General features: G+C 41.6%; 2 long non-coding RNA genes across 5 annotated transcripts in view; both read left to right on the top strand.

The window, feature by feature from the left end:
• LOC102723490 (uncharacterized) overlaps nt 1–12,562 on the top strand; it is a 113,878-nt gene that overhangs the window by 57,890 nt on the left and 43,426 nt on the right. The window lies entirely within an intron of this gene.
• LOC124903156 (uncharacterized) lies at nt 1,210–3,892 on the top strand. Its single transcript, XR_007063758.1, has 2 exons — nt 1,210–2,048; nt 3,670–3,892. It is a non-coding gene; the product is annotated as an uncharacterized LOC124903156 (long non-coding RNA).

Genomic DNA, 12,562 nt, shown 5'->3' with positions numbered 1-12,562 from the left:
CTGCCATTATTTTAATCCATTAAGTCTGTGGTAATTCATTTTGCAGCAACAGATTACTGATACAGCTGGGGAGCTTTAGCAAATCGGGATATACGAGACCAATGGCATCAGAATCTCTGGGGCTAGGACCCAGGCATCATTGTTTATATAGTTCGTCAGTGATTCTGATTCACAGACAGAGCTAAGTACCACTGCTGGGGAGACAGACTGGTTTGAATTTTGGCTTTGTTCACCATTTCCCAGCTAGATGACCCTACACAAGTGACTGACAGTCATCTTTCGTTGCCTCTGTTTCCTCACTTGTAAATGTAGACAGTGATGTTACTTTCTGAGGCTCTGTGAGGACGAAATGAGATCACATTTCTTAAATATTCAGTAGGGTCTAGGATACAAGAAACCCTCAATAAAATGTAACTCATAGATGCTAAGAACAGCCCCCTTGTTAAATAATGTAATTGAACCCTCTATTAGTCAGCTTGGATTCCACACAAAATACCACAGGCAGGTGGCTTAAAAAAACAATAGGAATTTATTTCCTCACAGTCTTGGAGGCTCGAAGTCCAAGGTCAAGGTGCTGGCAGATGGGTTTCTGGTGAGTCTGGTCTTCCTGGCTTGCAGCTGGTGCTTTTTGCTGTGCTCTCACATGGTCTTTTCTCTGTGCCCACCCCTTGTGTCTCTTCCTCTTCTTGTAAGGACACCAGTCCTATAGGATCAGGGCCTCACTCTCATGACATCATTTAACCTTAATTGTCTCCCTAAAGGCCCTGTCTCCAAATATTGTACACTGGGAGTTAGGGATTTAACATATGAATTTTTGAGGGCCACAAAGAGATCCATACCCAACAAATAACATCAATATTTCAGGAGGACATTTTACAGCAATGGCACTGATGTTCCCATGAGGTACAGAACATCTTCTATAGCAGAAAACTATGATACCAGAAAGTGAATTCACTGAAAATAGGCCAAAGTTTCATAGGAAGTAGTGGAGAAAAGATTTTATTGGAATTTTATTCTGAAAAGTGAAGCTAAAACATGTAAAAATAAGTTGATTTCTATTTTTAAACACAATTGAATTAAAACTAGAACTATATGCTAATTTTTAGAATAATAAAGAAGGAATCTAGTGTTGATTTTTTAAGGTGTAAATATTCTAACAAAGTAGTATGATAGTAAATATAATTTTCTTCACTTCTAGTTTGACTTTGAAAGCACAATTATAATGAAGATCATTTTTGCAAAACTTATTCAGCTGTCTCCCAGGCCTTCCTAAGTTTTTGCATGTAAATGGCTAAGGATGTACCTCTTGTGCCACCACTTCTGGTCCATTTTCCACGGCTAACAGTACAACTCACCTCACCCTCATTTGTCAGAGTCTATGATTCTAGCAAAGTCCTCAACACATTTTCATGGACTTGATGAAATTCTGCATTTTTCCAGATATTTAAAATTTCAATTTGCAATGACTTGGCCTTGTATTTCCAGATATTTACAATATCTGATCATCTGCAAGAGGCTAATCTACAAACGTATAATGCAAGAAAGACTATTTGAATAGGGACTAATATTGTAAGTAGTAGGTTCATTAGTGAATTACTTCATGATTGTTTCCGTACCATGAAAGATGAGCTCTGACTGTTCTTTTTTTGATCTAACCCGAATAACCTAAACTTGAGGAAATTTGCTGCTGGGAGTGAGTGCAGGTGGGTCTAAGCTCTGTGCAAGGGAAAAGGTTTCTCTGAAGTGGTGTGGAGCCATGCTGTGTGAGGCTGGAAAGAAGAACTGCTCTCCAGGGGACATTGGTCTGAGAATCAAGAATGCAGGAGTTGGTGTGCCATATAGGGAACTCAGTTGAGAGTTTAATAGTGGAATGACTTTTCCTTAGGCAATGGGAACGTCAGGTTTGGTGAGTGTTAATAATTCCTTTCTTTCACACATTTTTGTTTATGTTAAATAAAGTTTCTGCATGGTCTACATTTGGGGAAGTGCAGTGTTTTAAAGAATGGACAGCTCTGCAAGACTGCAAAAGACACTCAAGAGAGGAATCAGTAGGTGAAAGCCATCCCCTGCCATCCCCAGGGAAAGTGGGAGGAAGCTGGATATCTCACTATCAATTTTATTTGAAGGGCAAGATAGCTGGCATCTGAGCTGCTGATTGACTGTACTTTTTAAATTAAAGATATTCTGGAATATTCTTCTTTAGAGACATTTTAGAATCCAAAAGACATTTTACCAAAAGCAGTAGAAGTGGTCCTGAAAAATTTTATGCAGATTAAAATCTTGTAAACCAAATCACAGACATCAATTTCATGCATGAGGATTGCAGTGTTATTTTATCTTAATGTTTTTCTGCTCTTTAATTATTTGCCTTTTATTTTCTTTTGCTGAATAAATCTTTTTAGCTAAGCGGCATCCAAACTATTTTAGTTATAAACAAACATTTTAATCTATCCAAAGTGATGTTATTTAAAATAACCCTTTCATAACCTTTTGGTAAAGCCAAGACATCTTTGTAACAGGAATGAAACCCTTTATTTCATCTGTTTTGTAGTTTGGATGCCAAAGTATCAGGTTAGTATACATAATCACTTTGTTCAAAGGCCTTTAATGGACCTAAAGCTAAAAGTTAAGCTCCTTTGTCTAAATTTGACCTATTTATTAGGTTGGTGCAAAAGTAATTGCAGTTTTTGCCATTAGAAGTAATGGCAATATATTAATATTAATATTATAAATAAAAGTAGTGGGATTAATATCAACATAAATATTAATCCCACTACTTCCCTATAGATATCCCCATTCAACTATACCAGTGTTCTGATGTACTCAAGTTTGCTGTGCCCACTATTCTATTCCTTCAGCCAGTGCTATCCTCCCTGTGTTCTCTGGAACACATCTTATTCTTCCTTCTAGGTTCATTTTCATCTCAGCCCTTTCCCTCAAGATGCTAATTGTAACAATTTCCACTCCAGGCTAGTGTTTCCGTCCTTTCATTTCACATGGCAGCTATCGTCTGGCCCTCAGCTATGCCACTTTGAAGTGCTTTTAGGCAATTGGTATTTATATCACTAATTAAGTTACTCACTCCACAGATATTTATGGAGACCCCCACTCTGTACCAGGCACTGTGTCAGGGCTGGAGATAGAGTGGTAAACAAAATCATTTGCCCTTGTGGAATTTGCAGCCTAGTTGAGGAGATTATCATTACGTAACATCAGCTCTCCTCCCTACATGCCTCCCATCTCACAAATATCTGTATGATAACAATTTTTATAGATTCATTGAAGGAGTGCACAGGGCTCTAGAAGAAAGTCTAATGAGGGATTCAGCCTCAGAGAGACAGGACATGTCCCCTCTGCTCCCAGGTTCTGGTAAAGTGGTATTTAAGCCAAGAATCAATGATAGATTGGAGTTTGCCAAATCAGAGGGCTGGGAAAGCTATGGAAAGTGAAAAAGAATGGTGTGGCCAAAGGCCCTAAGGCAGGCAGGAGCCACGCTGATTGCAGTATTAGGAAGAGGGTTGTAAACTCCTTGACAGCATAGACCATGCCTTAGATCTCTTTGTACCTCACTACGTCCTAATGGGAACGTGGTTACCATTAACATAGTAATGTTGGTAAATTACACAGCATTTCTTGACCTGAGAATTAGTATATAATTTTCTATTTCAGCTATTTTTTCAACCCTGGGAATAAGAAGACATGTGACAACTTTTCTAAACTCATCCTTTCATCTCTTGACCAGCCTGTGTTCAGTTTAAAGCATAGCAATAGAATTTCACAAGAAGCCACACCCAAAGTAATTGACTTATTGTGTGAAATCCTAACTGTAGTATATAGATTTTATTTAACAGCTATGAAAGAAAAGGTACAACATTGAAAATGGTTGCCAAGTAAGTTATTTCCATTTTTTATTCACTAAACCGTAACAGCATTGCTTTAGAAGACAATGGGAAAAAATATTTCTGTGATTACTTTCATTACTTTCAACAAAACACTTGACACTCAATTTTATTGCTAAAAAAATGTCCTCTGGAGTGACAGCAGTATCTCTCCTCTGGAGTGACAACAGTATCTCTCCTCAGAGTCCCTGGGAATGTTTCTGTTATTGTGGAGGGAACAGGGGATATGAGGACAAGGTGTGATGCACCAGGAAGACTGGGTGGTCACAGAAAACACACACATGCACACACACACACACACACACACACACACACACACACACACAACCAAAAGCCACAGCCACCAAAATAACCGGCATCATTTTGGAAGATCCATCTGCCCAATGGGGGGTAGAATTCTCCATGATGACCTGTGACCTGTTCCCTGAGACAGGGAAGACCAGGAAGGTCCTGGGTGGGAAGGCAGCAGGACAGTATTTCACCATCTTGCTGTTTCCTAGCCTTGAGTTGGGCACATGTGTTGAGAACTGGGGAAAGTTGGGGAGTCACCATCATAGACACATGAACACCTATATTCCAGCAGTCAGGCATCCCAGATCTCCCGTGCGGAAAGGGGCCAGGGCTCCTGGCTCTCTGGAGTGTACAGGGGGGCCCCCAGAGCCCTAGCTCATCCTGGTTTGTACCAGATTTTCTACTGATAGTGATTATGCTAGTTATTAGAAAAGAGAATCCATGGCCAGACACAGTGCCTCACGCCTGTAATCCCAGCACTTTGGGAGGCCGAGGTGGGTGGATCACAAAGTCAGGAGTTCGAGACCAGCCTGGCCAACATAGTGAAACCCCGTCTCTACTAAAAATACAAAAAAAATTAGCCAGGCATGGTGGCAGGCACCTGTAGTCCCAGGTACTTGGGAGGCTGAGGCAGGAGAATCACTTGAACCCAGGAGGGCGGAGGCTGCAGTGAGCTGAGATCATGCCACTGCACACCAGCCTGGGTAACAGAGTGAGAAACCATCTCAAAAAAAAAAAAAAAAAAAAAAAAAGAAAAGAAAAGAGAAGAGAAGAGAATCCATGTTTATCTGTGAATATTTCCCAAGGCCATCTGTAGGAATAGGTAGCATTCAAGACAGAAAACCATGAGGTACCAAAGTATTACTTACTGCAGGCTTACTGTCATAAGAGTTTGTTTGTGTTTGGAAGAGATCACTTGGAGGCTTCTACATTGAGTTAGTGCAGAAAAATAAATCATGCCCAGCTTTACAATCAGAATTCTCACTTAGTCACTCATATTGCACTGGACTTCCTGACATCTTTCTTAAACCTTTTGATAACTGCTCTGGGCAGTTCAGTAAGAATCTTTCACTATCTCAAAGCAAGTCATCATTTTCTCATGCCAACGTCAGTGCAGTTCAATGCACGAAGTCTTTTTGATTTCTTTGTGCCTTCTCAGAAAGAATTTCTAATTCAAGTGGAAAACTTTAAGTGGGTCTCATAGATGATTTTACTCATGGAGAGGGATGCCTCTAATGGATCCAAGCAATATCTTTCTCTCAAGGCCTGGGAGTTCTCAGAAGCTCAAGAAGGCATCAGGAGTCACAACCCTGGGAGGGCGATAGTGAGTGGGCTGTGAAGCCCTCTTTCCCTTTGGTCCTTTTTTGATTCTTCCCCTGCCCTTAACCAATATATCCAGTGCATTAGCAAGTCCTGTTGATTCTATCTGTAAAAACTTGTCTCACCTCTATCCACTCTTCCGCCTAATTTGGGCCACCATCATCTCTTGCCTGGACTGTATATCAGCTTTTGTCTCTTTATGGCCACTCTTGTCCACCTACAGCCCATTTTCCAGGGTAGCAAGCGCTTCCTAAATGCATGCTGGAGTGTAATCCCTGACTTCATACCTGGGAGGATTTTTCATTTCATTTTGAATAAACTCCAAGGCCATGATTTACTATCGACATGCTCTGTTCCCTACCTCTCTCTTTAAGCTTATTTTGTGTCCCTCTCCCCATTGTCAGCAAGCTCTAGCCTCGTTGTTCTTCTTTCCCTTCCTTGAATGTGCTACACTCTTCCAGCACTTCGGCACAGGCTGTTCCCTCTGCCTGGAACACTGTTTCCCACCTCTTTGCATGGCTGACAGCTTTCATTTTTGAATCTTAGCTTAAATGTTTGCACCTTACAGAAGGCTTTCCTGACACTGTCTTTAATACAACTCCAACCTGCTTTACAGATTTTGTTTGTCTGTTCACATTTATTTTTGGTTTGCCTCCCCATTAGAATGTAAGTTCCATGAGGGCAGCAACATATCTATGTTGTTTTTCTTTATCTTTTTTTTTTTTTTTTTGAGACAGGGCCTCACTGTGTTGCTCAGGCTGGAGTGCAGTGGTGTGATCTCGGCTCACTGCAACCTCTGCCTCCCGGGCTCAAGCGATCCTCCCACCTCAGCTTCCTGAGTAGCTGGGACTACAGGCACAGGTCACCATGCCTGGATAATTTTTGTATTTTTTGTAGAGATGGAGTTTCACCATGTTGCCCAGGCTGGTTTCAAACTCCTGGGCTCAAGTGATCTGCCCACCTTGGCCTTCCACAGTGCTGGGATTATAGGTGTGAGCCACGGTGCCCAGCCTGTTATTTACTTTATATTTCTAGCACCTAGCACAGGGCCTCATATAATAGGCCTCTCATTAATGTTTGTTAAATGACTCTGAAAAATTAAACAAATGATGCAGAATTCTTCACTGCTACAGGTTTTCCATATGTAAGCAGGACATCAGATACTTACCTCTGAGAAACCGTGCAAGGACTTCCCTACCTAAAGGTATCTATCCCTTCACATCTATTAGGGTTCTGCTATCCCTTTTACATCACTGGGAATACTTCTCCATCAGAATTACTTCTTTTCTAAGGCATTGCTTCTGGAAGGTCACTGTTAGAAAGCAAAATAATCTCCAAAGAGTCATGATCTTATGGGAGTTCCATTAGCTTCTTCTATTTATTTATTAGTGCAGGTGAAGATAATTTGGTGAGTTAGCTAGCTCCTCCCCTTGGAAAACCCAGGGCATGTAGGCCAAGAATGTACCTGCAGGACAGGGAAGATCCATGAGAGGGGGCAGAAGAACAGGACTTCAGGGCCAGGGTGGCATGAGACTTCGGCCCAGAGAGAGTTTGGTAGGGATTAAGATACCAAAAAGGGAGCCCAAACTTCTCCAGATGCACATTTTGCCTTTGGAACAGTCCTATTCATGAATCCACTCATCTGTGATCAGAATGTGACTAGGAAGTTCGCCTTGATAATTTGAATTGGCTTTAGCTTCAATCTGCTTCTGCAGAGAGGATTCCCAAGGTCAGGGAACCCTGAGGCAATTTCTTCTGGGAAGACGAAGAACCAACACATTCTAAGCCTTACCCTTAGCCTAACTATCCTCCACAGTCCTCTCTCAATGACTGGCAATGTCAAAGAAGATGGTGCAAAGGGAATTTTCACCTCAGTTTGTAGGTTTTGTGCTTTGGATTGGAAAATGAGGTTTCAAAAGCAAGAGTCCTCATCAATTACTTTTTGGCTTCTTTTAAATATTCATTGACCTCAGCCACTTTTATCAGTGCTAACCTATTCTATTTCTAGATAAACCTGCCCTCTTCTATTGCTTTTCATCTCAGGAATCCAAGAAGAAATAATCTCATAAGAACCAAACTAAAGGAGTTAGAAGTGGAAAGGTAGGGGGACTCAGGAAGGGAAAACTCTAACAAGGATTTGGCATGATGAACTTGCACACTTGTAACTAACTGAAGTTATTTAAAGCCTGATTAGAATATGTTTACTCAAAGATATTAATTTTGTGGAGGGCCAGGGTGAGCCTGGATGAAGAGTTAGATATCAAGGACTTCAGTCTTTGGCACTCTACTTGAGGACACTCCACTGTATACCTCAAGCATGAGGTCTCCCACCAGCAAAGCTGTTCTTAAGTTCTCTCTGTAATGGGCCCCAGCCCCAACATTTCAGGTGCACAGAGGATTCGACAGCTTTGACTTCATGTATATTAAATCTGCTGTAGTGCCTTTAATGAGTCACACTCTTGCTTACCATAGACCAGATGATACTTGGAGGATACCTGCAAGATAACTCTTGATGCATAAGGTCTGGTACAGAGCCTAAGGGGATTTCCACTCTCTCATTTATGCCATCGGGCCCTGCTGAAAACTGGAGATTTGGCTCCTGGGCTTATCCCAGGGATGCCATTTCTTGTTTTTCCACTCTGTGAAAATCTATCCATTTGGTACTTGATTTTGCCTTGCTAGGCCTGGAACAGCTGAAACTCTCCCCGGACCATGAGATCCCATGGGAGTGGAGCAAGGGCCAAGGAACTGGAGCTGTGGTAGCCCAGCTGGAGCATGAATGTCCAGGTTTACAGAGATCTGCCCGAACCTCAGCTGTGGCGTGGAGGTCTGTGGCAGAAAAGTGTGTGGCCCATCTCTAGCACACCCACAAAAGTTCACAAAGTTCTGCCAAGGAAACCTAAAGAAACCTTGACCTTGCTCTGACTAGAATGTTACTCTAAGTATGTAGATGGTGATAAATGGAGTGCGGTGCCTTTAAGAAATGTGTATAGCTGGCAACCCGGAACAAGGCGTATTCATGACTTAATATCCTGAACTTCCCAGTCTCACCTGCTCCACTCTGTGCTTTGTTTGCTTGATGCTTCAAGTCACCATCCTCACTGCCCATCAGTGGCCTCATCTTGCCCTTTCACCCTAATGCCCCATCCTGTCTCTTCTGCATTTGAGCTGTTTCCTTCCTGAATATAATTTTGTCTTTTTTCTTGCCTCTGCATTCAAGATAGCTCTTGGGATAACACTCAATCTAATTCTACCTCATTTGCCGCATATTATCAATTCCCTTTTAGTAAATTATCTTTAAGCTAATTGTATATTTCATTACTTTATTTTCCATTTTACTTTTTAAGCAGGAAGAAGTGGTAACGGTTGCAGGGGTAGCTAAAAGTATAATTGATGTCATAAACTTTAGAATTAATGGAAAGAGATACTCTTCATTCTAATATAAGCTTATGAGGAAAGATTGAGAGGCTTAAAAAATTCCCTAAACCTACTCATGTAATTTTTTTTTTTTTTTGGATGGAGTCTCACTCATTCTTGCCCAGGCTGGAGTGCAGTGGCACGATCTCGGCTCACTGCAACCTCTGCCTCCCAGGTTCAATCAATTCTCGTGCCTCAGGCTCCTGTGTAGCTGGGATTACAGGTGCGAGCCACCATGCCCAGCTAATTTTTGTATTTTTAGTAGAGATGCAGTTTCGCCATGTTGGCCAGGGTGGTCTTGAACTCCTGACCTCAGGTGATTCACCCACTTTGGCCTCCCAAAGTGCTGGGATTACAGGCATGAGCCACCGCCCCCAGCCTACTCTACTGTAACTTAGAAAAAGCCCATGCTCAAATTATCATCTTTCCCTTCAGGATAGTGGTGAGCTCTGTCCCAGTGACAACTCAGGAGAATTGCTGGGGCATTGATATTACTGTGTAGAATGAGTCAGGCACTAAATGAGGAACACTGATGTGTGGTGTTGAACCTAGGAAGCAACCTGGCTTTCTGTGATTTGTATAAACTGTGCATAATACAGAAGAAGGAAAATCTGGGTAGAAAGATCTGCCTAAAAACGGGCTTCTCAATATAGAAACGTAAGGTTGAACCTAAGAAAATCCTTATAAAGTACTGATCCCTGCCATGAAACCCACAGAGGAAGATTCAACTAAGAATCCATAATTATCATTAGAATGTGAAATATACTAGATGGGCTTTATGAAGGCTGAAAAATTAAATAATTTCCAAAAAGTAGGACTTTCATATGTTAAGGTTAATGTGCAAGTCTTCATAGCAAAAAAGTATTTTTCATGTCCCCACTGAATGGCAAATATGGGGCTAAGCTCTGGGTACACAAAGGTGCATAAGACATAGTCTCTGCCTTCAATGAACTCACATTTCTGGGAAAAAGACAGACGCATAAGCAAATGATGACAATATATAAGGTGAAGGGTGCTTTGGGAGGTGTAAGAAGGAATGACAAATTCTAGTTGGGAATTAAAGGGGACTCTAAGGAGGACATGACAGTGAAGCTAAATTTTGGAGGATACATAAAAGTTAATCATGTGTACAAAATTGATGAGAACTATTCCAAGCAAAGAGAACAGAGGCACAGAAGCACGAAAGAGAAATGCTTGAAGAAATGCAATAATTTGGAATGGCAAGAGTGCAGAGCCTGGTAGAAGTGGAGTAGAAGGTGAGGATGGAAAGGGTCCAAGTCATGAAGGACTTTTTTGTTCTCACAAAGGAATCTAAACGTTATCCCTCAGATCATGGGATTCACCAGTCAGGGGAGTGATACTCCTGGACACATTTTGGAAACATCACTAAGAGGAGAAATGATTGAAGGAGAGCAAGACTAAAGGCATGGAAACTAGAAGAATATTGTAATAGTAAAGGTTAGAGATGATAGGGACCTGAACTAAGTAGTAGAAAAGAAAATATTAGGAAAGTTTTAAAGAAATGAACCAACAACTTGAAGATTGATTAGACATGGGATGTGAGAAAGAAGGAAGAGTCTAGAATGGCATTTTCACCCACTTTATTCCTTGATGTAATTCTGCACCCCCATTTCTTTCAATCCTTTATTAATTTGTACAGTTAACATGTATTGAGGGTCTATTATGTGCCAGGTGTCATACTAAATGCTGAGGAGACAAATGCCACAGCAAACAGTTAACGGGCACGTGCTTTATGTCATGCACTGTTCTAGACTCTGGGAAAATAACAGTGGATAAAACAGACAAAACCATTGAAACAAGCAAAAAAGGGAGGGTCTGTGTTGTTTGCTGCTGTAACACAATACTGCAGACTGGGTAATTTAAAAACAATACAAGTTTTTTTGGCTTGTGGTTCTGGAGGCTAAGCAGCCCAAGAGCACGGTGCTGACATCTGGTGAGGGTTCTTCGATGGCAAAAGGCATCACATGGTGAGAAAATGTATTCCAGGAACAGAGAAAAAATGAGGACTGAACTCAGCCTTTTATTAGGAGCCTGCTCCTGAGATAACTAACCCACTCTCCTAATAACAGCATTAGTAATCCATTGGTGAGGGTGAAGCCGTGATGGCCTAATCATTTCTTTTTTTTTTGAGAGGGAAGCTCACTCTGTCACCCAGGCTGGAGTGCAATGGCGCTGTCTTGGCTCACTGCAACCTCCTTCTCCTGGGTTCAAGCGATTCTCCTGCCTCAGTCTCCCGAGTAGCTGGGACTACAGGCGTGTGCCACCACACCCGGCTAATTTTTGTATTTTTAGTAGAGACAGGGTTTCACTATGTTGGCCAGGCTGGTCTCGAATTCCTGACCTGGTGATCCGCCCACCTCGGCCTCCCAAAGTGCTGGATTACAGGCGTGAGCCACCGCACTCAGCCTCTAATCATTTCTTAAAAGCCTAATCATCTCTTAATACTGTTACAAGAGCATTTGAGTTTCCACCACATGAAATTTGGAGGACACATTCAAACTATAGCAAGGAGGAACAAAAGTTTCCATTAGCCAACTTGGTGGGCAGCAGGGAAGACAGCCTCTAAAGCAGCTACTTCGAAATGACTAAACCATGGGAGTATTTTGTAGGGTTAGGAGAAGAAGTCAGTCTGAGAACAGGTAGCAGAAATTCTGACAACAGAAACCAGAGCAAACTTTTGAGCATTCTACTAGACAAATTCTGGAAAAACAGGATCATGGTGATATTGGTGGGCGTGAACAATAACAAAAGGATTCCTGCAGTTTCTCTGAGAAAGGTACATGTGGTTATTTTTTAGTAACTCAATCTTAACTTAGGGCTGAGTAGAATAGAAAAATCAGTATCAGACCAGGGAAATTCAAGACAGTTAAAAAAAAAAATACAGGCTTTCAAATTCTTGCCCTCATGCAGTTTACATGAAATGAAGGAGACGGAAGAAAAACAAAATAAGTAAATTATATAGTTTATTAGAAAGTGATGAATGCTATGGAGAGAACTATAAAGTAGAGAATAAGAATAGGAAACATGGTGTGTGTGTGTGTGTGTCCACACATGTGTGTGTTATTTTAAGTGAGATGGTCAGGGAAACACTCACTTAGACATTGACCGATACAAATAAGAAATGCCTACTCTCAAGAAACTCAGTGTTCTGGAGGAGTCAGACAGTGTGCACCACATGAGAAGTTCCAAGACAGGGGAATGCATAGGATTGTATGGGAGAGCACGCACTGGGTACCTCACCCCAGTAGGGAGTGGAGAGTGGTTCAGGAAACCATCTCAGATTGAGGTGGCACTTTAGCAATAACCTGAAGTTGAGGCAGAGGTAAGCAAATTGAGTAAGACAAAATATATGAAGGATTTTGTAACAGCAAGGAGCATCATATACCAAGGCACAAAGGTCTCATGGTTAGGACCATTCAGGGAGCTTCCAGTAGTTTAACATAACGGAGAGCAGGGTGTGTGTGGAGGAGTGACGAAAAGGAAGGGCTGAATCATGCATGGACCTTGAACATTACAACAAGGATTCTGGATTTCAGAATGAAGCAATGTGTATGTGCATTTGCCTATGTGTGTGTGTGTGTGTGTGTGTGTGTGTGCAAGCGTGTGTGTGACCA

The sequence above is a fragment of the Homo sapiens genome, chromosome 13 (genome assembly GCF_000001405.40).
Source record: "Homo sapiens chromosome 13, GRCh38.p14 Primary Assembly".
In the NCBI taxonomy this organism is placed as follows: Eukaryota; Metazoa; Chordata; class Mammalia; order Primates; family Hominidae; genus Homo; species Homo sapiens.
This window is presented reverse-complemented; position numbering and strand designations above follow the sequence as displayed.